The following is a 23,141-nucleotide window of genomic DNA, read 5'->3' on the forward strand; positions in this document are numbered from 1 at the left end:
TTCATTCCTGCCTTCTCCCCCTGCTCATTCATTCCTTCCTTCTTCGCCTGCTTGTTCCTTCCTTCCTCTGCTCCCCCTGCTCGTTCATTCCTTCCTGCTCACCCCAGCTTCCTTCTTTCCTTCTTCCCCTGCTCATTCATTTCTTTCTTCTCTCCCTACTCAATTTCTCTCTCACTCATTCATTCTTTCCTTGTCCCTCCGCTTATTCCTTCCTTCTGTCTGTTCATTCATTTCTTCCTTCTCCCACCTATTCATTCATTCCTTCCTTCACTTATGGTTCCACATTTACTAAACTCTGGTCTGAGGTGCTGACGGGAAAGGTGGTTCTGCCCTGAGAGCCTTTGAATCCTTTCCTGCCCACCAGCTTGTGGCTGGGGGAGACCAAGGCCCTGCATGTTGGTTTTACCTTCTGTGCCCAGACAAAAGGCTCTAAGGCAGGTGAGCTGGCTGCCCAGGAGCAGAGGCACCTCCTCAGCTGCCGGTGGCTCTGGCTCTGTTGCCATTGTGGGGAGAGGTGGTGGTGGAAGGGGCTGGCAGAGCAGGAGGGGCCGCTGTGCTCCCCGAAGGGTGGCTGCATGGGTGACCTGTGTTCCCACGGCCAAGTGCAGGAGCCGTGCTGGTCCGGCCAGTGCCCTCTGATCACTGCTTGTCCCCCAGAGGGCACCAAGCAGACAGTGGTCATCTCCCCTCCTGCCCTGCCCCAGGAGGAGGGGACTCAGGTTTGCAATAAGCTTTTGCCTTCCTGGGGGTGACTCACAGCTGCTTTCCATTTGGGAGCCCTGGAAGGCAGAGCAGGCAGCTTAGAGACGCAGCAGAGATGAAAGTGGCTTTCCCAAGAGCACGGGAGGGGCCTGGCCTGGCAGGCGGGAGGCAGCCTGGGATCTGCATTGGGTGTGCTTCTCATCCCCCGCAGGGAGGGAGACTGGGAGTGAGGCAAGGACGCCAGCATGGTGAGGGCAGGGGGCGAGTCGAGGTGTGTGGGCACAGCTGGTGCCTCGTGTCCAGGCTGGCAGGGCCTGGGAAGTTCTTGGGGAAGGGACGTCCAGACCAGCCTGGGGCCGTGATGGTGCGGAGGGCAAGCTGCCCCAGGTGGCCCTGGAAGGTAGTCGGGATGGCTGGGTATGGAGCGTGGGGTGTTAGGCAGGGAGGGTGGGGAGCTCTAGGGAAGGGGAGGAGGCGGGGACCAAGGTAGTGGCAGGGGTGCTGAGAGGGAGGGGCGCAGGCCGTAGGAGAACAGGTGGCAGAAGGACAGGAACGGACAAAGAACAGGAGTGGATGAGGGGTAGAGGGGTTGTTGTTGGTGAAGCCAGGTTTCTGCTGTAGGCCCCGGGGCTTGGGGGCTGGAAGGGGTGGGGCGAGACCAGAGAGTGCTGGCCTGTGGGGGTCCACCAGGCATCAGCCACGTCCTGCCCAGACCCCTGTACCCCCACAACTGCCTTGGCTTCCTGCTCTGTCTCAGGGGATGACCGCAGCCTGTCCAGCTCATCCTCAGAGGCCAGTCACTTGGACGTCAGCGCCAGCAGCCGGCTCACCGCATGGCCAGAGCAATCCTCGTCGTCAGCCAGCACGTCACAGGAGGGGCCTAGACCAGCAGCTGCCCAGGCCGCCGGGGAAGCCATGGTGGGTGCCTCAAGGCCACCCCCCAAGCCGCTGCGTCCGCGGCAGCTGCAGGAGGTTGGCCGCCAGAGCTCCTCGGACAGCGGCATCGCCACTGGCAGCCACTCCTCTTACTCCAGCAGCCTCTCGTCCTACGCGGGCAGCAGCCTGGACGTGTGGCGGGCCACAGATGAACTGGGCTCACTGCTCAGCCTGCCAGCAGCGGGGGCCCCCGAGCCCAGCCTGTGCACCTGCCTGCCCGGGACAGTCGAGTACCAGGTGCCCACCTCCCTGCGGGCCCACTATGACACACCACGCAGCCTTTGCCTGGCTCCTAGAGACCACAGCCCCCCCTCACAGGGCAGCCCCGGCAACAGTGCGGCCAGGGACTCAGGCGGCCAGACGTCCGCCGGGTGTCCCTCTGGCTGGCTGGGCACGAGACGGCGGGGCCTGGTGATGGAGGCCCCCCAGGGCAGCGAGGCCACACTGCCTGGCCCTGCCCCTGGCGAGCCCTGGGAAGCAGGCGGCCCCCACGCGGGGCCACCCCCGGCTTTCTTTTCGGCATGTCCAGTCTGTGGAGGACTCAAGGTAAACCCCCCTCCTTGAGAGCCGCAGATCCCGCCCCGCGGCTGCAAAGGGGCTGAATTTGCCCCCAGATGGCAGAGGAAGTGGCGCCAGCCTCCTTGCAGACTGGTGCTCTGTGTTCTGTGGGAGGGACCGGGGGTCTCCCGGAGAGGGGAGCTGGAGGGCGCGCCCTGTGGCTGCCACCGGAGGAAGGGGCTGACTTGGGGAGGTGAGTTCTGGAAGGCAGGGGCTCTGGGTCCGGCAGGTCGGGGTCACCAGAGCCCCAATGCTCAGCTGCTTCACTCCGTGTCCCCCACCCCTGAGGATCAGGTGAGTGCTGCACCTCTGTTGGCTCGTGCCTTGCACTGGGGTGCCAAGGGCTGGAGGCCCTGCCGCTGGCCTTGTCCTCCTTGGGCCTCACGCCCCCTTCGGGGGTGGCCGGTTCTCCCCATCACCTCTCTGGGGCAGTCACACCACCTGTTAAGCATCAAGCTACCACAGAGGCTCCGGCCACCTGGGCTCCACCAGCCCAGCCCCCCTGGGCTCCGTGTGCGCTGGGCCTCATCCCCATCTATGGGAGGAAACTGAAGCTCAGGAGGCTGTGTGGCTTGCGGGGTCTCTGGGTTCTGGGCCCCACTGTTCCCCAGTGAAGCCCTTGTGGGAAGGTTCCGGGAGCAGGTGGTGTCCTCAGAGCAGCCTCGCCTGCTGACCCCACTGGGAGAGGCGCCGTGCCTCGGGCCCCTGGTGGGAGCTCTGCTGGCTCCTGTCTGAACCTCCTCGCAGGGCCAAAGGCTGGCTTGGCCTGTGTTTCCCCTGGCCCAGGCCTCAGCCCCTGCGTCGGAGGTGGGGCTGTGTTGGGCCCATTGTCCCCCGCCCTGGGTGGCTTCCTCTTGCACAGCCTGGAGCCTGCCCTGACCACAGCCCAGCAGCTCCCTGTGAACACCTCTTTGTCCCTTCACTGTCAGCTGTTTCTAAACCCAGACACTGTTTGTAATAGACTGGAAATAAAATGTTCTTTCCTTACCACCTTGTCCTAGTCCGTTGCCCAGCCCTCTCCGCCTCCTCGCCCACCCTCCACGTGGGGCCTCTGCCTGGATGCGAAGTCCCCGGGCCCGGCTTCCCTGGCCTTTATCTCAGAGAGTGCGAGAGGCCTCATCTGTCTTGTGAGCCTTGGGCCTGAATGCTGTGGTGTGCGGAGAGGCAGCTCCGGGCAGCCCCCGGGCTGGGATGTGCATGTGTGGTGTGTGCACGTGTGGCACATTCCTGGGTGTGTCCTGGAGACCACAGTGGGGTCTGCAGTAGTCCCTCAGGCATGGGGCTCCTCAGGTCCCGGTGAGGGCGGACCTCAGGAGGGGGCTGGCTCTGAGCCCAGGGCCCCTGCCCTGCCTGTCTCCCCTACATGGGGCCGAGTTCCAGGCTTGTCTCAGTCACCCCTGCACATCTGTGTGGGTGCCTGCCTGCCCCCTCACCCGCCACCCTGTTGTGGGTGCCTGCCTGTCCCTTTGCCTGCCACCCTGTCAGGGACTGACTCTGAGCGGGGAGTTCTGGAGGGCTTCTGCAGCAGTGCCTGGTGAGCAAGCGTGGGCTTTGGGGACTGAGTTTGGGCCACATCCACTACCTGCTGGCTGGGTGACCCTACAAGCCCCGCCCCTCTCTGAGCCTCAGTTTCCTCTTGCAAACGGGATGACAGACCCCGCCTCACTGGGCTGCACTGAGGGTCTGATGAGGTCACTCTTCAGGCGCTCAATAGCTGCCCGTCACCATTACCCCTGCTGCTGTCACCTCCGGAGGTGGCCGCGCCAGTCTTGTTGCAGGACGAGTGAGGCTGTGGCTCCTTTGCTGGGGAGCCAGGCCCTTCCCGCTAGTCTTCATCATCCACGCTCAGCCCTCTGTGTTCCCACGGGTCGCCTGCCCAAGGCTAGTGGGGGCAAGGTCCCTCTGATGGGACCAGACTGAAGCACCCCACAGCGGTGGCCTGGAGTCATGGGGCCTCTTGCCTGGCGGGGCTGGGCCCCTGGACAGCCTTTCCCTGTGGGGATGCGGCCGGGACATCTGCCTCTCCTCACGATGCTCGTGAGTGGGCCTCGCTCCGGGCGTCTGAAGGTTCCGGCCACCGCCTGCTACGGCAGCCCAGGGTCTCCAGCCTCAGTACCCAGTTCCCAGGTGGGTGGCCAACAGGCTGGGGGCTCCTCCTCAGGCCAGGGGCAACCAGATGGGACAGACACTGGTTCTGTTTTCTTGACGGCCCTGGAGCACCTGGGCCTGGCCAGGCAGGGGACAGGGTGGACCTTCGCTGGTTCGGGCTCTGCACCATCCACACCTACCCGCCTGCCCCCACCGGGAGCAGCTGGGGAGGGGCCCTCTCAGGAGCCTGTGTATGTGATGAGCTCAGGGGGTGTCGGCCTGTTGTCAAAGGTTCTCAAAGTCTAGACCAGCTCAGTTTGCTCAGGGGGCCTCGTGTGAGGGTCCCAGCCCTGTGACTGTCTGCCCTTGAGTCTGGCCTGCACCAGTGCTAGGTGCTGAGCCCCCATTTCCGGCCTCCCAGCCCCCACCCACGAGGCCCCTCAGAACAGGAGGGTGCTGCGCCTTCTTTCTAGCTGCCGGCTGCCGGAACCCATGTGGGACATTGTCTTGGGCTGGCCCCGCTTCTGCTCATCTGGGCTGGAGGTGGGCAGGAAGCCTCTGCTCAGCCGTGGGCCGCTGTCCCTCCCGCAAGCGCCCTTCAGACCCCACCATAGGCTCCTCCAGGGACTTGGGGCACCCCGTTAGGCACGGCCCACTTCAGAGGCCCAGGAGAAGGTCGCCTGCAGTGTCAGGGAACTTTGCTCATCTCATCTGGGGCCTCCCAGTGGGGCATTTTCCAGGGGCACCCCCCTGCGGAGCCTTCCCCACCAGCTGCAGAGAGCAGGGCCCACACCCTCAAGGACGGGAAAGGAAATCACAGGCACCCTCGGAGCAGCCGCTCAGCTCTGAGGTCGGAGCCCAGACACTACCTTGCATGGGCGTGGTACTCCTCCGATAAAGCTCTAATAGCAAAATAGTGGGGCTGGACTGGGCCTCAGGGCTGGGAACCGCCCCCTCCCCAGATGCCGAGGCCTCCAGCTCCCCCATGGGTGGTTATGGGGGCTACCACCAGGCTGGGTGGTCAAGGCAGTGGGTGGCCCGGAGATCTGGGGGCTGTGGGGCAAAGGGCCCTGGAGAGAAGGCATCAGGTATGGCGGGCTGGACTCCCTGCAGGTGACCCAGGTCCCCCAGCCTGTGTCACTCTTGGGGGGTAGTGTCCTTGTTCTCGGTGGCCCCCCGGGCACAGGATGAGGGGAAGACTGAAGGATGCACTGACCCAGGTTCTCTTTGGTCTAGGGAGCGGCAGCCTCAGCCCCAGGACCTGCGACAGCACATTCAGGTAGGCACCTGGAGCCAGTCCCCCAGAGCTCGGGGACAGGAAGGCGGGAGTCTGGGTGGGCGCAGATGGCAGCCAGAGTTTGACTAGATGGGGAGGGGGGAGGGTGGGGGGCCCACTGCCAGCAGGGAATGTGGGCAATGTGGTGAAAGTGGTTGTTGGCTGACAGTGGATGTTGGGTGGCAGTGGGTGTTGGGTGACAGTTGACAGTGGTTGCTGGGTGGCAGTGGGCAGTGGGGGTGAGTCCCAGCCCAGGTGTGGACAGCAGGGCAGTGGGTAGAGGGCAGGCTGCTGGAGGATGGACTGAAGGTTGGGAGACACAGACTGGGGTCCACGGGTCCCCAAGCCCTGAGTGTGGACCTGTTCCTGGGAGGGGGCATGGCAGGAAGGCAGTCAGGGTTGGGGTCCAGGAGCCCCAGCTCAGGGAGGAGGGGCTGTGTCCTCAGACAGCGGTGGGGGCCTGTGGAGGCTGGGCTGGTGGTGAGCGACTCGGCGAAGGGCAGGGCATTGGTGCCCTGGCAGGTGCAGTTTTGGGGCCAGGTTGGGAGGGAGGGCCAGGCAGGGAGGCAGTGGGAAGGTACGGATCCCCAGGGTCTCCCTAGAGAAGCCTGGCAGTCACTGGGGACAGAGCCCTGCTGAAGGTTGGGCAGGGCTGAGAGGCTGGAGATGAGGACGGCTGGCCTGGGGTAGATGGGTGGCATCAGGGCCAGTTCTGTGCCTGTTTCCTTGTGGAGTAGGAGCCACTGCGGGCTAAACCTTGGATTCCTCAATCCCTTCTTCCCAGGCAGGTGGCACCTACAGGGGGGCGGGGTCCAGGCAGGCCTGGAGAGGACACCCAGGGTGGGGGAGGCGCCCAGGCAGGCCTGGAGGGGACAGTCAGGGATGGGGGCGGAGCCACAGGCAGGCAGGGGCAGCTTGGGAAAGCCCCCACCAGTCTGCCTTGGCCCTGGGCTGGACACCGATCCCTGCAGTCCAGTGTGCTGAGGCAGCCACCAGACCAGAGGTGGTGGGGCCAGCCCTGCCCCAAGGGTCCTCCTGGGCAGCCTGCTGTTGCCTCCCCGAGGCCACCCGTACCCTTCAGATGTCTTTTACCCAGACAGGGGTGCCCTGGGACACAGGTGTGGGGATCAAGGGGACAGGCCCAGTATCTGCTGGAGGATGTGAATCTTTTCCACAGAGGCCGGGGGCTCAGGAGGGGCGCCTGGGGTCTGTCATGGGACAGAGATGAGCCAGGCCCAAGTGGTAGCGTCGGGCTGCCAGCCCAGGGCGGGGTCTGGGAGGAGAGTGCAGAAGGGCCAGCCGATTCCCGGTTGCTGCTTCACTGAAAGAGTATCCGAGGTACTGGAAGCGATGCTCACAGAAGCCGAAGCAAAATCCAAGTCCCAAGGAGGGGACGGGAGGAGGAGCACTGAGGGCCCTGGAGCCAGTGGCCTTGGGGGAGATACAGATACGGACACACTGCTGGCCCAGCGCTGCTTACAGCCCCCGTGTGACTCCGGGTGGTGTTGGGAACATTCGTCCCCTTTCCCTGCAGTCAGGCCTCATGCTCCTTCCTGCTTCCACCCTCACCCCTCACCGCCCAACCTTGGGAGCAAACTTGGAAGAACGGATGCAATCCTAAAACGAGGTACCAGGCTGCAGGGGGGTGTCCAGCCCCACCGTGGGCAAGCCCCGGCCCTGCCCCTTGGCTTCAAGGCCCCCTTTCCAGACGCCAGGCCCCGGCGCTCCCTCAGCTCTCCCCAGGCCCTCACCCCACCTGCCTCTCCCACCACCCCCTCTTGGCCTAGCCCCTCAGCCATGCCCCCTCCTCTAGGCAGCTGGCCCTGCTGGCCCTGTCCCTGCTGGCCCAGGTGCCTGCCTGGGCACCAGAACTTGGCCGCTATGTTCTGTGGCTCATCTCGATGAAGGGGTCCTGGCATTCCGAGGGGACCAGCCCTCTAGGACCACACATTTGCAGGAGGGGGGTCTCCCCAGGGCCTCAGGGCCAGGCAGGGTTGGGGCAGAATTGTGTTGGTTGCTTTAGTTCATGGAATCAGGTGAGCGAACCCTCGTCGACCTGGGCTCCATCTCGCTCTGTCCCAGCTGCTGCCTGCAGAATCAGCGAGTCAGGTCTCCCTGGCCTCAGTTTCCCCACTGGGAGCAAGCAAGTGAAAGTTCCTCACCCCTAGCCCTGCTGCAGGGAGTGACGGGGACAAGGGTGAGAGGAGCCAGGCAGAGTGGATGTCTGCGGCAGGTGCCGGGCAGCGGGTGGCCACAGGAGAACCTGGTCTGCTGAGGATGCATCCCTGGGGCAGGGAGGCCCAGCCTTGAGTCAGGCCCCTCCCCTGGACAGGCAGGTGTTTCAGGGAGGCCGACCCTGCAGGGCTGTCACCCGCTGGATCCCAGCCCCCACCTGAATTCTGAGGGCTCGGAGTGTGCTGGGGGTGGGGAGGTCACTGTGGGTGGGGCTTGGCTGTGTCTCCCAGCCACTGGCTCAGGGAATGGGGGGGGACTTGCTGTCACCTCCCCTGCCTCACGTGGCTGTGCGTTCCCTCACGAGGTCCTGATGACAAGAATGGGAGGAGGCACTGGAGAACGGGGTCCTTCCTGTAGAACCTGGGTGCCCACGGTGCGGAGCCCTCAGGCCTGCAGAGGAGGGGCCGGTGTGCGTCCAACCCCCTAAGGTGGGAGCCTGCCTCAAGTCCCACCCAGCCGGGCCTGTGGGGTCCCCTCCTATCCTGCTCCTGCTCTGCCCTCCCCAGCACCAATGGGGTGTGCAGACAGAACCATCAGCTATTAGGAAGGGGGTCGGGGGAAGGGAGTAGCTCCTATGAGGGGGGAGAGGGTGTGGGGCACCTGGGTGTCCTGGAGGGGATGCAGAGGGAGCGTGGGCCTGTGTGCAGGAGAGGAGGGGGTCCCTGGAGCCTGCAGCAGGTGGGGGTGACCCCGGAGGACAGTGAGGGGGAGGTGCTGGGGGCCAGGACAAAGCAGGGCTGTGCTGGCCCGGGAGGGTTAGGTAGAGAAGGTGCTGGGACAGCCAAGGAGGGGCGGTTGGTGGAGAGAGTTGGGAAGGTGCGGGGCGAGGGGCGCAGGGACAGAAGAGTGGGCCTTGGGGGGCCCATGGGGGGGTCGGCAATTCCTGCAGGGGAGGCGGCACAGTGGAGGGGACAGCGCTTCCTTCTGCTCTGTGGGTACTTGGACCAGGAGTGGACAGTGTGGGGGGGGCCTCAGGATGGGGCAGCGCTGGGCCAAAGATGGACGGTCAGGAACATGGAGCGGGAACTTCCAAGGTGCAGGAGAGGCGGAGTGGGGAGGAGGGGCTAGGCAGGGTGGGCAGCTCTTTACTGCACAATCTTTGAGATCTGTGCCCCTCTCGGTCCCCACCGGGGCTTCACAGCCGCTCCCCCCACAGGATCCCCAGGACCCGTGGCTGTGGACAGCCCAGGACCAGAGAGGCCGCGCGGCGAGTCGCCCACTTACGTGAACATCCCCGTCAGCCCATCCTCCAGAAAGCAGCTGCACTACATGGGCCTGGAGCTCCAGGAGGCCAGCGAGGGTGTCCGAGGTGGGTCCCCGCCCTGCGTGGAGGCACTGACAATTGGGGGCTGGGACCACAGCCTCAGGGCCCTGAGCCCCCAGCCCCACCCAGCAGCCCTTGGCCAGGGAGCTTTTCCTACAGCCTCCCCCCAGGAGGCAAATGTCCCCAACTCCATCCCTGGCCAGGCCACATCCCCTGAGGGTGTCCCCACTCAGATGCTTCCGAGGGCCTGGCTGGGGGACTGGTGTGGAGGGCAGGGTCACAGGGCTGGGTGGCTCGGGGCGCAGGCTGCCGCTCACTACAGAATTCTTTCAGGGGCTGGCGCCTCCCTCTACGCCCAGATCGACATCATGGCCACCGAGACGGCGCACAGAGTGGGGGTGCGGCACGCACGGGCCCGGGAGGAGCAGCTGTCGGAGCTGGAGCAGAGGAAGGCAGCCCCGCAGTGAGGTCACAGCGCCAGGAGCTGACCGCAAACCCGGTGCGCTGTGCGGCCCCGTGGCCCCCGGCAGGCCAGCCCCTTCTGTTGGGCGTGGTCTGGTCCCCAGGGAGCTCCCAGTCGCAGGAGCAGGCATGGCCGGTCTCCGGGCCATGGTGCAAACAGGAAGTTTTCAGGGCCCACGGCCAGGCCTCCTGCCTCACAGGTGTCCGGGGCTGACCCTTCGGCCTGAAAGAGTTGCTCTGGACCCCAGGCTGACTGAGGCCCTGCTTCCAGGCATCAGGCAGCTCTGGTAGCTGCTGTGGCATCTCAGGCAGAGGCTGCTGCCCAGGAGTTTGGGAGCATGGTTTGTGGTGCCTGGGATGCAAACCGCCCTCTCACCCTGGGGGTGACTGCATGGATGACAGCCGTGTCCTGGCAAAATGCTCATCCCTTCACCTGGGTGTTGTGGCCCTGCAGAGCCAGGACCCAGTGCCCGCTCCCACTGTCGGCACCATGCCCGCTCCTGAGACTGGCGGCTCAGACACTCCCGGAATCCCCTCCCCGCCTCCCGGCTGTCCTGCCTGGGCCACCGCCACCCTGCACCTGGGGACGGAGCCTGGACTCTCCCAGCCACCTGACCGCTCCACTTCTTGGGACCTATTACAGCCAGTCATGTAAAGAGCCATTGTGACTGTTCTGTTTCTGACAATGCCTATTTTCTCTCTCCTGGTTTCTGCTCCTGGACATGGGTCTGATGTCTTCACCTGGGGGTGCTCGGGGTTGGGGCGAGCAGAGCTGCCTTCCTTGGTGGCACGGGGTTGGGGCTTCCTCCTGCGTCGGTGCGGTGCTGTGGCTTGGGGGTGGGTGAGGTGACGGGGCTATGTGCATAGGTGGTGGGCGTCCTGCATGCCCTCAACCCCTGTGGCAGGAGGAAGCACCGGGCGGGCCCCCTGCCTTGCTCCTGGAGATGGGGCTCTCTGCTCTGCATGGCTCCATCCGTATTCGTCCCTTTCTTTCATCTTCCTGCCCGTCCTTCCCCCGCCCCTCCCCCAGGAGCCCACCAAGGACCCAGAGAGTCTGTGGTTGGCCTGCCCCGGGTATGGCAGGCAGCTGCCACTGCTGCTCAGCGGGGCCCTCAGTGGGCAGGCTCAGAGCACTGGCCCTCCTGGCGCCCCCGCTCTGCATGTGACTGCTGAGGACGCTTGGCGTCAAGGTGGCAGGATGCAGGGTCAACCGGAGCCAGCTGGGGCCAGGACAGAGATCTCCCGCTTCGACGCAAAGGCCCTGGGGAGCATTCTGACAGACAGGGCAGGGCTGGGCTGGGCTCTCAGCCTGGAGGGTCCATGGACAAGACTTTCAGCTGCAAGTTGGGGCAAGGCATGGCCTGCACCCTGATCCAGGGCTGCAGCCGTGTCGGGCCCTTAGGGTGGCAGAGTTGAGATGTCCACCTCCGGGGCTGGCCACATGCACCAGCTCAGACACGCAACCTGGGTGGCACAGCCCCACCCCTCCCCGTGACCCTAGCTTGCTGGAGCTCAGGCTTCCTGTTCACAAAGTGGGAGAAAGGGTCAGCCCCTCTGCTGCTGATGGGATCGTGGGGCTGTGGGGGCGGGTTTGGAGCCTAGACCCAGTGTGTCTGGGTGTGCCTTGGGCCACATCCTCTCGGCACAATGGAGTGGCCAGGCCATGTCCTGAGGAAATGGCCACACGAAGTGTGGATGTGGGGCTGGGGCTGGTCCCACGGCTGTGGAAAGCCAGGAAGCAGGGGTCAGAGTAAGACCTAGCCAGGGCACCACGGGTGGGCGTGGTATGGGGCTCAGGTACACCCAGGCCTCCAGCAGAGTGCCCGGGGAGGCTGTGATGGCCCACGCTGTATCTGGCACCCATGGGTCCCAGTTGTGTGGTGGAGGAGCCGTGGGAAGGGACGATGCTGGCCAAGGCGGGGTTGCTCTGATCTCAGGGCAGCTGCCCTTGGCCCAGGACAGCCACTCAAGGCCAGAGCTGTGACTGGACAAACTGAACAGGAAGCCTGACCTTCCCCTGGAGTTGTGACCAGCAGCCAAAGCCTGACAGGGTCATCTCTGCAAAGCTGTTGAAGATGTGAGGAGGTGGAGCACACGGGCCATCGTGTCTCGGGCACCCTGGACTCCAACCTGTGCCCGCATGGGGCTTCCATCCCTGGGCCTGAGACTGCCCCGGCCTTGGCCCACTGCCCTCGAGCCACACCACCCATTCGGCTGCCACCCCACGCCCTGTCCTCGTGCTGCCCCTCCTGGTGCTCCTGCCTTTCACCTTCCCTTTTGTCAGAGCAGGAGCCTCTGCCCTAGACCACCCCCTCGGTTCAGCAGGCCCAGGCTGGTCCCTCTCGGCACCCGTGCCACAGGAAGCCTGGAGCGTCCGGGACGAGGCGAGGCCCGTGCAGACCCGATGGCACCGCACACTCACGCCCCACACACGGATGGGACCTGGGCTCAGCCCAGCTACCAGCAGCTCACATGTGGGGTGTGGGGACCTCGCCGTCCCCATGTCCCAAGCAGCCAACGCTGGCACGGGTGAGCATCTGTGACTCTGGGAATACCCGTGCCAGGCAGGCCACGTTATCCCGAACCAACTTAACTGCCTATCAACAGGAAGCTCGTACATCACCGCGGCCCGTCTCTCCCTGTGACGTGCAGCCTCAGCCTCCTGCGTTCAAGTGATCCTTCCCCCCCGCAGTTTCCTAAAGTGTTGGGATTACATGCGTAAGCCACCATGCCCGGCCAAAGTAAGTACACTTAGCAACTTAAAAATACACATGGATCAAAGAAGACATCATACTTGAAATGAGAAAATATTTTGAACTGAATGGCAGTGAAAACACTACACATCAAAACTTAGGGAAATGTGGTTAGTGTGGTACGTTGAGGGAAACTTATAACCTCACGCGCTTGTTTCACAAAACAACAGCAGACAACAGAGATTTCCAACTCCAGCAATGACAGGCTAGGGTACCTAGATGAACCATCACACTGAAAACACATGCTGCAGTAAATACTGAATTTCTCCTTAAGAGCTGTGGGAATCTGACAAGCCAGGAAGGTAGAAACAAGGGAGAAGTGAGGGACCCAGGGGCCCAGGAAGGTCGTGAGCGCCAAGCACCCAGTGCTGCTGCCCCAGGGCGTGGCCAGTCCAGGCTTACGGGGCTCAGGTCCTAGGGGGCTGACCAGCAGGGTGGGGCAGACACCAGGCTCCAGCCCAGCCTCAGGTGAGAGTGAAGGGAGCACCTATCTGCAGCAAGCTGAAGCCCCCAAATCTAGGCCCTGAGGGTGAATCGGTACCAACCCCCTCGCCCTATCCTGAATGTGAGCGGGGAAAGTGCTCACCTGGCAAGATCTGGCCTGCGGCCCTTCAGGGGTCAGCATGACTTGTGTGGGTCAGAAAGCCTCAGCCCCAAACCCGGTCTCAGAGGCTTAAGAACCCTCTCCAGGAGGATGATCCATATAACAGCTCTCAAATAGGCCCCCAAATAATTCTTCACAAACACTTAACAGTTCAGGCCGGGCACAGAAGCTCATGCCTGTAATCCCAGCACTTTGGGCAGCCGAGGTGGGCACATCACTTGAGGTCAGGAATTTGAGACCAGCCTGGCCAACATGGTGAAGTCCTGTCTCTACTAAAAACAGAAAAATTAGGCCAGGCATGGTGGCTCATGCCTACAATCCCAGCACTTTGGGAGGCCGAGGTGGGCGGATTGCCTGAGGTCAGGAGTTCGAGACCAGCCTGGCCAACATGGTGAAACCCTGTCTCTACTAAAAATACAAACATTAGCCCACTGTGGTGGTAGGGGCCTGTAATCCCAGCTACTTGCGAGGCTGAGGCAGGAGAATTTCTTGAACCCAGGAGGTGGAGGTTGCAGTGAGCCAAGATTGCGCCATTGCACTGCAGCCTGAGCAATTGAGATTCCATCTCAAAAAAAAAAAAAAAAAAACCAAAAAACAAAACACACACACACACAGAAAAATTAGCTGGGTATGGTGGCAGGTGCCCATAATCCCAGCTACTTGGGAGGCTGAGGCAGGGGAATCGCATGAACCTGGGAGGCAGAGGTTGCAGTGAGCCGAGATCGCACCAACGCACTCCAGCCTGGGCGACAGAGCAAGACTCCGTCTCAAGAAAAAAATAAATAACAAAGAACAGAAGACAACATGACCCCACAAGTGAACCAGAGGGAAAGACAGGAACAGACCATTGGAGACTTTAGGGATGGTTAGTGATACCAGAGGCTAAAATAATCATGTGCCCTACCATGCACGCAGCCATGGTGGCCCGGGTCCTGCCACGCACGCAGCCATAGTGGGCTGGCTAAGCTGCAGGTTGTGCCTGAGCTCACGGACACGAGGAAGAAGGGCGACCGTGTCCTGGACAGCCCAGCTCGAGGCTGCTCTTCAGCCCCAGCCCCTGGTGTCCCGCAGCGGCTGCGGTGGCAGTGGTGGGGGAGCAGGCATGGCACCCGGAGCACTGGAGCCCAATGCAGGGTGACCCCTTCCCCCCAGCTCCAAATCCAGCATCCCTCCCCGGTGCCTAGCCCTCGCCAGGCTGCTGGCCCCATCGCTGGGAAGGAGTGGTTTGACCCCTCACCACTGAGAGGAGTAAGGTGTACTTCCTTGTCAAGCATGACTCCGAGCGGCACTTCTTCCACACCGCGCAGCTGCCTGTGCCTGGCAGGGGCCTCCTGCGGCCGGAACGTCCCCTGCATCCCCAACCACACCTGGCACAACACCATGGCTGAGGTGCGCTTCCAGCTGCACCAGCAGCCCACACGCCTCCTGAGCACCACTACCAGCTACCCCAAGCCCGTCTATACCAGCTACCCCAAGACCGTCTATACCAGCTACCCCAAGACCGTCTATACCAGCTACCCCAAGACCGTCTATACCAGCTACGCCAAGACCGTCTATACCAGCTACCCCAAGACCGTCTATACCACCACCCTGGATTACAACTCGGCAAGATGCTGGGGAGGTTTCTGTTAGGGTGGAGCTGGAAGCCATCAAGTTCCTGGGTAGAGATGACCTTTCAGATGGATGCTGACCCAGCAGGCTGGGCTGAGCTGGGACCAGCTCTTCCACTGCCCTGCTCCGAGCCTGCTCTGGTCAAGGTGGGCAATGCTGCCCTTCATGTACTTCCAGCCCCGGAGGAGCTGAACCTAGAGATACCTGGAAACCCAGCTTAGGGAAGTAAAAAAAAAATCACTGCATCTCATAATTATTGAGATATTTTTAAATTTTCAAGCTTTTTTTTTTTGAGACAGAGTCTTGCTCTGTTATCCATGCTGGAGAGCAATGGCACGATTTTGGCTCACTGCAAACTCTGTCTCCCAGCTTCAAGTGATTCTCGTGCCTTAGGCTCCCGAGTAGCTGGGATTATAGGCAGATGCTGCCACCACTCCTGGTTAATTTTTGTATTTTTAGTAGAGATGGGATTTTGTGATGTTGGCCAGGCTGGTCTCAAACTCCTGGCCTCAAGTGATCTGCCCGCCTCAGCCTCCCAAAGTGCTGGGATTCCAGGCGGGAGCCACCCACACTTGGCTCAAGCTGGGTTTTTTTTTTTTTTTGAGGCGAAGTCTTGCTCTTGTCCCCAGGCCGGAGTGCAATGGCGCGATCTCGGCTCACTGCAACCTCTGCCTCCCAGGTTCAAGCCATTCTCCTGCCTCAGCCTCCCAAGTAGCTGGGATTACAGGTGCCTGCCACCATGCCTGGCTAATTTTTTATTTTTAGTAGAGATGGGGTTTCACCATGTTGGCCAGGCTGGTCTCAAACTCCTGACCTCACGTGATCCGCCCACCTCCACCTCCCAAAGTGCTGGGATTCCAGGCATGAGCCACCGCACCCGGCCGGCTCGAGCTGTTTTTAAGAGGATATATCCTGGTTTGCTGCTGTGTAGTTTCCCCAAAGTCTCAATTTGATGAGAAAATAGAAAGACCACTAGAACGGAAAAATAAAAAATAAAAATTAGATTTCATCAAACTGGAAACCTTTGCTTTCCAAAAGATAACCATTAAGAAAGTAAAATAGCAAGCCAGAGGATCGGAAATTATTCACAACACATATCTGAGGAAGGACTCACACCTAGACCTGGGAATAACGCTAAGACCAGGCTGGGTGTGGCGGCTCCCGCCACCTGTAATCCTGGCACTCCGCGAGGTGGAGGCAGGTGAATCACTTGAGACCAGGACTCCGAGACCAGCCTGGGCAACACAGCGAGACCCAGTCTCTATAAAAAAAACCTTTTCTTTAAATTAGCAGAGCATAGTGATGCATGCCTGTAGTCCCAGCTACTCAGAAGACCGAGGTGGGAGGCTCGCTTGAGCCCAGGAGTTTGAGGTTGCAGTGAGCTATGATCGCACCACTGCACTCCAAGCCTGTGCGAGAAAGATCCTGACTCAAAAAAAAAGACAAGATTTCCAAGACCCAGTTTTTTAAATAGGCAAAAGAATTAAGTAGGCCCTTCCCAAAGACGCCACCCAAATGGCCAAGAGCAGACAAAAAGGTGTCATGCCTCTGGCACCAGGGAAGTGCAAGTTACTACAAAACGAAAACAAAAGAATCAAATGGATTTAATTGTCTTTTTGTTACTGATTTCCTCCTCAATTGCACTCTGGCCAAAGAATGTGATTTGTATTATTTACCTACATATCATATATTTATACATTATCATCTGCGAATTACTGACATTTGCTTTGGGTCCTAGTACCTCGTCCATTTTTAAAAGATTCCATGCGTGCTTAAGAATGTTTTCTCTAATGGGCATAAGTAGACCAAGTTTTTAACTGTATTATCCCATTCTTTCATATTCTTCATCAATGATCTAAGCCTCTATCAAAAGAACCTAAAACAAGGACAGCAAATTGAACACAAAATAGGTAGAAGAAAGGAAATTCATAAGAAAAGAGCAAAAGTCAATGAAAAAGAAAACAATAGAAAAAAAAAATCAATGGACCCAAAAGTAGGTTTCTTTGGGGAAAATATCTGTAAAAATGATAAACTCTTAGCTAGTCTGATCAGGGGGAAAAGAAAACACAAATGGCCCAGAGCAGGAATGAGAATGGACATCACTGCACAGAGGATACTGTGAATGATTTATGTAAATTGTTTTGATAACTTAGATGAAATTCTGCGACAAACCTATCTTTAAAAAAATGACAAAGGAAGAAACAGAAAATCCAAAAGCCTCATGTCTTTTTTTTTGAGACAGAGCCTCGCTCTGTTGCCCAGGCTGGAGTGCAGTGGTGTGATCTCAGCTCACTGCAACCTCCACCTCCTGAGTTCAAGTGATTCTCCTGCCTCAGCCTCCAGAGTAGCTGGGATTACAGGCATGCACCACCACACCCTGCTAATTTTTATATTTTTAATGGAGACGGGGTTTCACCATGTTGACTAGGTTGGTCTCAAACTCCTGACCTCAGGTGATCCATCCACGTTGGCCTCCCAAAGTGCTGGGATTACAAGCGTGAGCCACCATGCCAGGCCTCATGTCTATTTTTAAAAATCAAGTTCTTAATGAAAAACCTAAGCAAAAAGAAAATGGCAGGCATAGATGGCCTCACCCATCACATCTCTATGAAACAAATAATGCCAATCCTATACAAACTATGGCAGAACTTGTTTCAGGAGGCCCACTTAATGCAATATCAAACCATGACAGACACATCACATGACAAGACAATGAACATCCAAGCCCAGTGTCCCTCAAGAGCATTCCTACACAGGAGGTCCTTAGCCCGGTATGAGCAAATCTCATCTGGCCATGCAGAGAAAAGGCCAATGCACCATGGCCACAGGGACTTACCTGGAAATGCCAGGTCATCTTGGCATATGAAAGTCAGCGTAATTCACTACAGTAATGCGGTAAGGAAGTGACCTCATGAGCATCTCACTAGGTGCAGGAAAGGCAGCTGACCACATTCAACACGGATTCAGGAAAAGCCCTCAGCAAATGAGGAAGCTCTTCTGCCTGTAAGTGCACCAGTGCAAACCCAACACTGAGCCGGGAGAGACTGAGCCCATGTTCACCGAGACTGGGAATAAGATTAGCGAGCGCCGGCTCACCTCACCAGTGCAGTGAGAAGCCGAGGCACAGACTGACAAGGGGAAGCAAAGCCACTGTCAGACAGAGGACACGCGTGTGCACACGGAAACCCCACGAGTCCACAGAAACACCGCCATGGCCAAGGCGGGAGTTTAGGGCACAGGATTAAAGCACCACGCACAGGTGACAAATGAAATAAAAATACACAGTCCTCAATAGCATATCGAACACCTAGGACTAGATCTAAAGGAAAACATGCCAGACACATGCACAGAAAACTCCAGTTCATTGTTGGGAGAAGTTGAAGATGAACTCAATACCTGGAGTCATACATGGCAGTCAACGCATGGACACCGGAGACTGTTGAGACGCCGACTGGAGTCACACACGGCAGTCAACGCGTGGACACCGGAGACTGTTGAGACGCCGACTGGAGTCACACACGGCAGTCAACGCGTGGACACCGGAGACTGTTGAGACGCCGACTGGAGTCACACACGGCAGTCAACGCGTGGACACCGGAGACTGTTGAGACGCCGACTGGAGTCACACACGGCAGTCAACGCGTGGACACCGGAGACTGTTGAGACGCCGACTGGAGTCACACACGGCAGTCAACGCGTGGACACCGGAGACTGTTGAGACGCCGACTGGAGTCACACACGGCAGTCAACGCGTGGACACCGGAGACTGTTGAGACGCCGACTGGAGTCACACACGGCAGTCAACGCGTGGACACCGGAGACTGTTGAGACGCCGACTGGAGTCACACACGGCAGTCAACGCGTGGACACCGGAGACTGCTGAGACGCCGACTGGAGTCACACACGGCAGTCAACGCGTGGACACTGGAGACTGCTGAGACGCCGACTGGAGTCACACACGGCAGTCAACGCGTGGACACTGGAGACTGCTGAGACGCCGACTGGAGTCACACACGGCAGTCAACGCGTGGACACTGGAGACTGTTGAGACGCCGACTGGAGTCACACACGGCAGTCAACGCGTGGACACTGGAGACTGTTAAGACACCGATTCTTCCCAACATGTATTCAAGACATTCAGAAAAGGTATTCAAAAATGCGTTCAAGGGAATTGCTATTGAAATTCCAGAAGGCATGTTTTTTTGGTAGAAATTGAGACACTGATTGTAAAACATATATGGAAACACCAAGGACATAAACAGCCACAAGAATCTTTAAAAAGAAGAGTTGGAAAATGCACATCACCTCGATTCAGGGTTTATTATAAACCCAACTGTAGCCAAGACAGTGTGGCGGCCGGGCACCATGGCTCACACCTACAACCTGTAATCCCAGTAGTTTGGGAGGCTGAGACAGGAGCATCACTTGAGCCCAGATCAAGACCTGCCTGGGCAACATAGTAAAACCCCGTCTCTACAAAAAAAATAAAAATAAAAAAAATAAAATCAGCCGGGTGTGGTGACACACGCCTGTGGTCGCAGCTACTACTCAGGAGACTGAGGCGAGGGGATTGCTGGAGTATGGGAGGTCAAGGGTGCAGTGAGCTGAGATCACGCTACTGCACTCCAGCCTGAGGGACAGAGCAAGACCTTGTCTAAAGTGTGGCAATGGCAAGAGCGTAAGGACAAACAGAAACAGACCCACACAGGTAGGTCAGTTGATTTCTGACAAAGGCGCCAAATTAGGAGAAAAAAGCCTATGCAGCAAATAATCTGAAAGTTAAGGGAGAAATGGATCCTGACTGCAACCCACACTGGAAACGTACACTCCTGAGTAGGGACTGGATACACACGCGGCACACACCCACACAACAGGCCGCCACGCGGCAATCAGGAGTCTGCCGCTGATCCACGCAAAAGCCTGGGTGAATCTCAGATGCTGAGCGAATGTAAGCAGATACACGCAGACATACACAGACGCACGCAAAGACACAGACTGCCCAGAGCCATGCACGTGGAACCCATGGCAGGCGGGAGGTAGGGAGCTGCGGTGGTAGGAGTCAGAATGGGTACCCCTGTGGGACTGGCTCTGCGGAGTGGAGGGCATCACCTACATCCTTCGTGAGTGCGCACCATGACCAGCCACACCCATGGAACTAACACTCGGTATCTGGGTTTTTTGTGTAACTGCCTCCCCTCAACACCATGGTCTCCCACATACAAAAGAGGCCATTATACAGTAAGACACGCTACTCCGCAATTAGACACCACAAAACGCCAGCCAGGCTGTCCATAATTAAAAATACCGAGCACCAAGTCTCAGCAATCCACTAGTGTTCTCCTTCCACCCAGCTGGGAGAAAGAAACACAGTCCAACCACTTTGGAATCATCTCTATACTTGGACAACACGCTTCGTAAGATCCATTAGGTGCTCCTAGAGTTGGCCCCCACCCCCACCCCCACACGAGTGTTCACCACAGCTATTTCCAAGTGAGTGTTATTACCCCAGAAAGGAAGCAACTCAAATATCCACCCACAATAAAGTGCATTAAAATCAGAGCACAGGACAGTCATGCAATGGAATACTATACAGCAATGAAAAGGAACACACTTCTGCTAGATGACAGGGCTGAGTCTCACCAACACACTGAGTACCTTAAGGCTCTCAGGATAATGGGAAAAAAAAGAACCAGAATCCACCCCCCGCCCCACCAGCCACACACACACAAGTCCACAAAGGAACAGGCACCCACATGCTGTACCCTGGGGCCCTTCCAACCCTGATGCGCCAACTCCCGACATGCTGCCTCTAGCCTTGACCTTTCTCAGAAATGATAGCTTAGCGGATGTTTGGCAGATCTCAACAGTCAAGCCAAGATCCAGCTGCAGTCAAAACACAATACGCCTGGTGGAGCCTCTTCCAGGTTCAAACACGGGAACCACGCTCGGAGCTGGACCCGGACCCGAGCCTCTTCCAGGCTCAGACACGGGAACCACGCCCAGAGCCGGACCCGAGCCTCTTCCAGGCTCAGACACGGGAAGGGAACCACGCCCAGAGCCGGACCCGAGCCTCTTCCAGGCTCAGACACGGGAAGGGAACCACGCTCGGAGCCGGACCCGAGCCTCTTCCAGGCTCAGACACGGGAAGGGAACCACGCTCGGAGCCGGACCCGAGCCTCTTCCAGGCTCAGACACGGGAAGGGAACCACGCTCGGAGCCGGACCCGAGCCTCTTCCAGGCTCAGACACGGGAAGGGAACCACGCTCGGAGCCGGACCCGAGCCTCTTCCAGGCTCAGACACGGGAAGGGAACCACGCCTGGAGCCAGACCCGAGCCTCTTCCAGGCTCAGACACAGGAACATTCTCGGAGCCGGACCTGAGCAACCGCCAGTCCATCAGCTATGGTCAGAGGAAGGCCTCCGTGGCTGTCTCTCCCCCATGAGATGGGGCATTTACACAGCACACTTAGGGACACGGAGGCCCTGCAGGTTTGGTGAGGTCTCCCGAGGTCCCTGAGCTGCAGAGGTGAGAGTTGAAAGACGCTGCCCCCAGGCCACAGTCTCTGACTGTCCACAGAACCACACGCTCCACATCTTCCCCTCAAACTCAACTCAAGCGCTCTTGGCTTTAAATCAGGCCGGGCCGTCTCACGGGAAAAGGAGGTTGGCTGCAAAGACCCACAGGGCCCAGAGGGGAAGCTGGCTATGACGCGATCCCTTCAAGAGCACTGGCTCCGGCCCCAGCCACCAGGACACTTAGTGACCAGCCAACAAGCGGGTGGTTTAAATACTGCACTCTATTTTTTAAGGACTCTGTGCATGGTATTTCCGGTGGCAGATGTGTAAGATTTTTTATGTAAATCGTGTTGTTTTAGCAGAGGACTATCAGACCTGACAGCAGCTGGACATCGAGGTCCTCACTGGGGTGGTGACTGCCACGCTGATGCTGAGTGGAAGCCAAGCCCCTTCAGTCAGAGCTGGGCCGATCTCAGACCCAAATGCTACCACCACCAAGCCCTGTGTCGCGACGGCAGCGGCTGCAGTCACCAGAAACAATCCTTCCTGCCTCGACACCCGTGCCAGCCCCAGCCACCCTGACGGCGGGCTGTCCACGGAAATGCCACGGCCAAGAGCCCAGGTCCTTCACGCTGGCCTCTTCCCTGCCGGGCTGGGCTCCCCAATGCCTTCAGAGTTCGTTGTGCCGAGCTCTGGAGATCCTGCCGGACAGGTCCTGCAGATGCTTCTTCACCTGTGGACAGAAACGTCTCATCAGCTGGGGACAGCGCGCCTCGAGGCCAGCTCTGTGAGCTCAGCCTCATGTCAGGAGACGCGCGATCCAAAAGGAAAAGGCGCAAGCCCTGCACATCTGACTTTCCAATTCCACACCCATCCAGAAATGCTCAAATCACAAAAGCAGCTCAGTACTAACTAGAAAATCCCACCAAAGAACGCTAAGAGCCACCAGCCAGGAGCAGTTCATGCTGAAGTGGAAAGCTCAGGGTCTCTGTGATAGGCCCATGGTGTTATTTATTTACTTACTGAAAGGGTCTCGCTCTGTCACCCAGGCTGGAGTGCAGTGGCATGATCTCAGCTCACTGCAACCTCTGCCTCCCAGGCTCAAGTGATCCTCCCACCTCAGCCTCCCATGTACTTAGGACTACAGGTGCCCACCGCCACGCCCGGCTAATTTTTTCTACTTTTGGTAGAGATGGGGTTCTACCATGTTGCCCAGGCTGGTCTCGAACTCCTGAGCTCAGATGATCCACCCACCTCAGCCTCCCAAAGTGCTGGGATTACAGGTGTAAGCCACTGTGCCCAGCCCCACAGTGTTATTTTTAAAAGCAATGACCAGAGAGACTGGGACAGAGCTCTGGGAAAGGCGCCTTCCTCCTCAGGGCCTGGGAGGGAAGGAGAGGGACCTCCAGCTCCTCACATCACAACAGCCCAGAGCATCCCCACAGATACCACCCCAGTGGCAGCAGGTGCTGCGTCAGCCCAGCCTGGGCTGGGGTCACTGTAGCTCTCCCCAGATTCTCACAAAACCCTGCTCGTGGGCGCCACCTCCCTCTCCACATAGAAGCCCGTGGCTCAGGGTGAATAACTCACCGAAGGTCCCTTCTCTCAGCGGCCCTGACCTCTGCCCCAACGGTGCGGGTGCCTCAGGCAGTGCCACACGGCTTTCTTAACCAACACCGAGCTTTGCCGTGGTCAGGTGAAGCTAGGTGCACGCTAGCATTCCATCCCCGCGTCTCGCGGGAGCGCCCTGCAAACCCCACATGGTGGTGCTCACCCTGGACCTGAGCTCCTGCCCACGGGCAAGGGCCACAGGCTGCTCTCCTGCACATTCTGCCAGGCAGACCCGCACCACCCTCTCCTATCAGAACTTCTACCTTCATTTATTTTTTAGGCCTTTGCTATTTTTGAATCGGTAACACATGCCTGCAGTTCAAAGTTTAAAAGGCACAGATGGGGCTCCTGAGCCCCAGCTCCCTCCAGAAAGAACTTGGCATGAGCTTCCAGGGTTTTCTGTGCCTCTGTGGCAAGGCTGTGCGCTGGCTTCAGCTTCTCCTGGGCTCTGCCCCTCCTCCCCTCACATCCCAGGGGCTGTGGGGAAGGAGGCTCGCCTGTCTCAAAGGCTGGAGAGTGCCCTGAC

General features: G+C 59.0%; 2 protein-coding genes across 12 annotated transcripts in view, besides 2 other annotated features; one reads left to right on the forward strand and one right to left on the reverse strand.

The window, feature by feature from the left end:
* The window catches only part of DOK7 (docking protein 7), a 38,177-nt gene extending 27,994 nt beyond the window's left edge, over window positions 1-10,183 (forward strand). For 5 of the 10 annotated variants that reach the window (NM_173660.5, NM_001164673.2, XM_047450079.1 and 2 more), the window contains one exon: window positions 1,460-3,183. In NM_173660.5, coding sequence (NP_775931.3) covers window positions 1,460-2,202 — 743 coding nt within the window. In that variant the 3' untranslated portion in view covers window positions 2,203-3,183. Of the gene's footprint in view, window positions 1-1,459; window positions 3,184-5,520; window positions 5,564-7,094; window positions 7,861-8,951; window positions 9,105-9,392 lie in introns of those variants that run through there. The other 5 variants (NM_001301071.2, NM_001363811.2, XM_047450080.1 and 2 more) reach the window with 2 other exon arrangements.
* Window positions 1,303-1,824: an enhancer, noted in NCBI's record as "H3K27ac-H3K4me1 hESC enhancer chr4:3494329-3494850 (GRCh37/hg19 assembly coordinates)". NCBI's record gives its function as "activates a minimal SCP1, AML or CMV promoter by ChIP-STARR-seq in naive H9 embryonic stem cells {active_cell/tissue: H9 hESC(naive)}" and the evidence as "EXISTENCE:reporter gene assay evidence [ECO:0000049][PMID:30033119]".
* The window catches only part of LRPAP1 (LDL receptor related protein associated protein 1), a 28,811-nt gene continuing 17,982 nt past the window's right edge, over window positions 12,313-23,141 (reverse strand). For both annotated transcript variants that reach the window (NR_110005.2, NM_002337.4), the window contains exon 8: window positions 12,313-21,737. Coding sequence is in view for 1 of the 2 variants with exons in the window: in NM_002337.4 (NP_002328.1) it covers window positions 21,675-21,737 (63 nt within the window). In the remaining variant the exon portion in view is untranslated. The remainder of the gene's footprint in view (window positions 21,738-23,141) is intronic.
* Window positions 17,550-18,749: an enhancer, noted in NCBI's record as "MED14-independent group 3 enhancer chr4:3510576-3511775 (GRCh37/hg19 assembly coordinates)". NCBI's record gives its function as "activates an origin of replication core promoter dependent on BRD2, BRD4, P300/CBP and CDK7 cofactors, and independent of MED14, by STARR-seq in HCT116 cells {active_cell/tissue: HCT116}" and the evidence as "EXISTENCE:reporter gene assay evidence [ECO:0000049][PMID:35650434]".

This window comes from Homo sapiens, chromosome 4, assembly GCF_000001405.40.
Source record: "Homo sapiens chromosome 4, GRCh38.p14 Primary Assembly".
Lineage (NCBI taxonomy): Eukaryota > Metazoa > Chordata > Mammalia > Primates > Hominidae > Homo > Homo sapiens.